Raw genomic sequence first — 4,418 nt, forward strand, 5'->3', positions numbered from 1 at the left:
CATGGGTGGATCTTAAGTGAATATTTCCAACTAAAAGAAACCAGTCTGTAAAGGCTGTATAATGTGTGATTCCAATTATATGACATTCTGGGAAAAGTAAAACCATAGAGTTTTACTCTATAGAGTTTAGTTTAGAAAAGTAAAACTACAGAGTTTTACATAAAATGACTTAGTTGCCAGGAGCTCAAGGGAAGGAGGGAGGGTTAAATAGATGAAACAGGCCAGGCGCGGTGGCTCATGCCTGTAATCCCAGCATTTTGGGAAGCTGAGGCGGGTGGATCACGAGGTCAGGAGATCGAGACCATCCTGGCAAACATGGTGAAACCCCTTCTCTACTAAAAATTAAAAAAAAAAATAGCTGGGCATGGTGATGGGCACCTGTAGTCTCAGCTACTTGGGAGGCTGAGGCAGGAGAATGTTGTGAACCCTGGAGGTGGAGCTTGCAGTGAGCCCAGATCGCGCCACTACACTCCAGCCTGGGAGATAGAGCGAGACTCCATCTCAAAGATAATAAAATGAATAAATAAATAAATGAAACAGAGAATTTTTAGGGCAGTGAAACTATTCTGTATATCACAATAGTACTTATATGATACTATGCATTTTTCAAAACCCATAGAACTTTATAGCACAAAGATTGAACGTCAAAGCATGCAATTTGTTATAAAGCATTTAGGAGGTCAAGAGGAATCCTAAGATGGAATGGAGAATGTGACAAAGAAATTTACCTGTATTCAATGAAACAATCTCACTGAAGAGGGAGGGGTAAAAGTTGATGACCTGAGTAAATTTGAAATTAGTGGTGTCTGTAAGAATAAAGGCAAAATGAATTACACATAAATGCCATTGCACTGGTGTTGATAAAGTTTTTTCCCACAAGGGTACACAAGAAAAATTTTGTATCACATCCACAAATTTATATATTGAAGACCTAACCCACAGTATCTCAGAATGTGAATAAATTTGAAGACAGGGCTTTCAAAGAGATGAGTAAGTTTAAATGAAGCTGCTAGGGTGGGCCCTAATTCAATCTGGCGTGATTATAAGAACAAGAAACATGGATATATTTAGAGATAGCAGGGCACCCATGCACAAAAGAAAAATCACCCAAGGGACACAGCAAAAAAGCCACCCTGCAAGCCAAGGACAGAGGACTCAGGAGAAACCAAACTTGCTGACCTCTTGATCTTGAACATCCAGGTTCCAGAACTGTGAGAAAACACATTTCTGTTGTTTAAGTCATCCTGTCTGCAGTATTTTATTATGGCAGCCCTAGCAAACGAATACAACCACTGATACCTGTATACTTGAAATGAATAATTAAGTAAATGATGGTGGGAGACAGGTTTCTCATCACTGAAATAGGAGGTTACAGAAAGGCAAAGGGAAGAGGCTAGAATGATCCATGTGATATAGAATTGGAAACAACAGTAGGAATGCATGTTTGCTGAATACAGATACAGATATTATATATAGAAATACCTATAGACTTGTATATATGCATGGATTAGTATGTACACAGTATTTCCTTGCTCTGACAGAAGAGATCCCAGAAACATCAATACTCCAGAAAACTCAGAAGAGTTAGAATCAAAATCTTGGCTGCTAAAGCCATTTTCCAACAAAACAAAAAATAATTCTTGGGAGAAATGACTGCATGACTCATTATCAAATTCAATAATATAACAAAGTTGAAAACAAAATATGATAAAAGAGTCATACTATGCAAATATCAATACAAATGATTTTAAAGAGGTAATTACATTAATCTGAAAAACTAAACTTCAGAGCAAAGAAAATTACCAGGGAAGGTCATTGCATAATGAAAAAAAAAATCAGCCCACAAAGATCTAATGATTCTAGGTGTGTAGATATCAAACAAGAGTCTCAGAATACATGCATTAAAAACTGTAGGACCTAAAGGAAGCAATTGATAAGTCTATGCTTATAGTTTCAAATTTCAATGATCTCCTCTTGGCAATTCTGTAACATTTCTTTGGAGATATTATTAAATAGGAGTATTCAAAAATATCAAATATATAAGTTTTAAACTTGCTCATGTGTATTTAAAAAAATTATAGCATGTTTTCACCATCCTGAGATAAAATTAGTCAAGATCCAGGCATAAGGACCTAAGTACATGAGTGCCTGCTTAGATGTTTTTGTGAAATTGGAACAAAGGACTGCTCCTCAATGGTCAGGTATTTTACTCTGTTATGCAAGCATGTAATAATGCATGTTCTAGATATTTGCAAATTATGAAATAGGCCACTACTATCAAACAACTTCATTAAATCAAGAAATTATTTTGAGTAAGACACTATTGGAGATTGAGAATCTCCAATTATTAACACTGGATATCCTATAATTTAGATAAAAACTTTTAAAAAATGCAATTCAGTCTTTTAATAGAAGTGAAGAGTGGCTTGACCTAATGTGGCAAAACTAAAATAAAATAAATCACCTAGTCATCAGAGACAAAAGATTTATATTTATTTACATACTAGGAAACAGGGAATAGCCTGCCAATAAACATATTGATAGCGTCATCTGTGTCCAAATGTATGAATTTGTTACTCCTTTAAGTATTTTACGAAAGTAGTGTAGTGGCTCTTTTATTTATTATTTTTATAGTTATTAGTATTGATTAAAGATAATATATTGACCCAAGCAGATCAAAAAGGACAAAAAGCACCTTGAAATAAACAATACTTTCTTTTGACTTAAGTGACTTCTGTAGACACTAACTTTGCAAATTATTGATATTGGGTGTATGGATTGGTGTCATTATGTATGCTTATTGGATTTTCTTAATGACACTACTGTGTTTTAAGGACACCTCCAGGCACCCAATAAATACTACTGACTGGCCAAGTAACTGTTCTTCATTTATTCTCCTATTAGGATATATTTAGATCTGATTACTTCTGGGATCTTGTAATACAGTCATCTTCAATTATCCATTGTTCTTCCTGAAAACAACCAAATGTAGGCTTACCATATGTAAAAGTAGATACTAAAAGACTTATAGAAGAAAAATAAAGATTGAGCACTCATAGCAAAAATGTCAAAATAGTTTTATCACCAAGGTTCTGTAACTAATAAATGAACAGAAAGAAAAGAAATATTTTACTTAGTTCTCCATCACTCTGACAATTTTTATTGTTGTAAATACACTTTTTGAGTAGTTTATTGTTTTTTTCCAAAAATCTAACATCATATTTTTTTTGGAACCCCCTTGCTTTGGAAAAATTATTGTAATCCTTAAAGTTAAACAAACGCACACACATTCACAACACACACATGCACACACACACACACACACACACACACCCAGATTTCCATCTTGACCTATCTCTTTTGTAGTTGTGTTAAAATGGATTCATTACTATCCTATATTTTAAAAGAACAAATGCCTTACTGCAAAACTCACTGCATAATGATATCAGCTTTATCGGATTGGGCTGTGATCTCTATATTACAATACCTCATGCTCTGATAATATTCTCTAAACAAACTTAAAAATACATTCCCCTTATCTTTTCCCCAAAGTAGATATTGAATAAGTATTTGTTGACCTAGTTTTCTTTCTTTATTCTTAAACATTCACAAGAATCACTCAAATCTGGAAAAAGTTTAATAAGAAAAATTTACAACTTAAGTTTGCATGTACAATTAATTCAAGTTGTTTAGAGTCAGATTACAAATATTAGCTGTGTTTCTTAGTGGAATTTTTTTAAATGTGCAATACTATAATTTGACTTTTTTAATACAAATGAGCTTTATCTCAAAACTTTAATAAAAAATAATCAGAACTAGAAAAATGTAAAATGTTTTCATCCTTCTATATTTTAAATCATGTAATGGGTCATTTTTGTAAAGGCAAAATTGATGAAATCTACTTAAATTAAAATGTGTAATCCTAAAGATTTACTAAATCCACTAATCTAGTTTTCCCTCTTAGGAATATTTAGAGTGATCAGAAAGAACCTAACATATTTAAACATAAAATGGTCAGAACTTAGAATATATTGCATATTTATTTGATTCATTTTCATTTATACATATAGAAACAGATTATTTTTGTGTATTTTAAATAATTATTTCTCACACTAAAACAATTTGACCTTTAGTGCTTATTTCAATTATTGTCATTTTGACTTTAACTTGGAAAGATAGAGGATATACTGGTGTTACTACTTCATAAACAGATTTTAAGAGCTTGGGGTCTGAAGGGATATACTGTGGTGTGGTACATGTAATTCTTACCCCACACTTTCTAACTGCTTGGCCTTGGACAAGTTACTGAAACTTCTCTGGGCTTCAATTTTCTCAAGTAAAAATGGGATATGCTAATATTTACTTTATAGGTTTGTTGAATAGATTAACTGTATTATACTCAAAATACTTCTTTGAAC

This window comes from Homo sapiens, chromosome 7, assembly GCF_000001405.40.
Source record: "Homo sapiens chromosome 7, GRCh38.p14 Primary Assembly".
Lineage (NCBI taxonomy): Eukaryota > Metazoa > Chordata > Mammalia > Primates > Hominidae > Homo > Homo sapiens.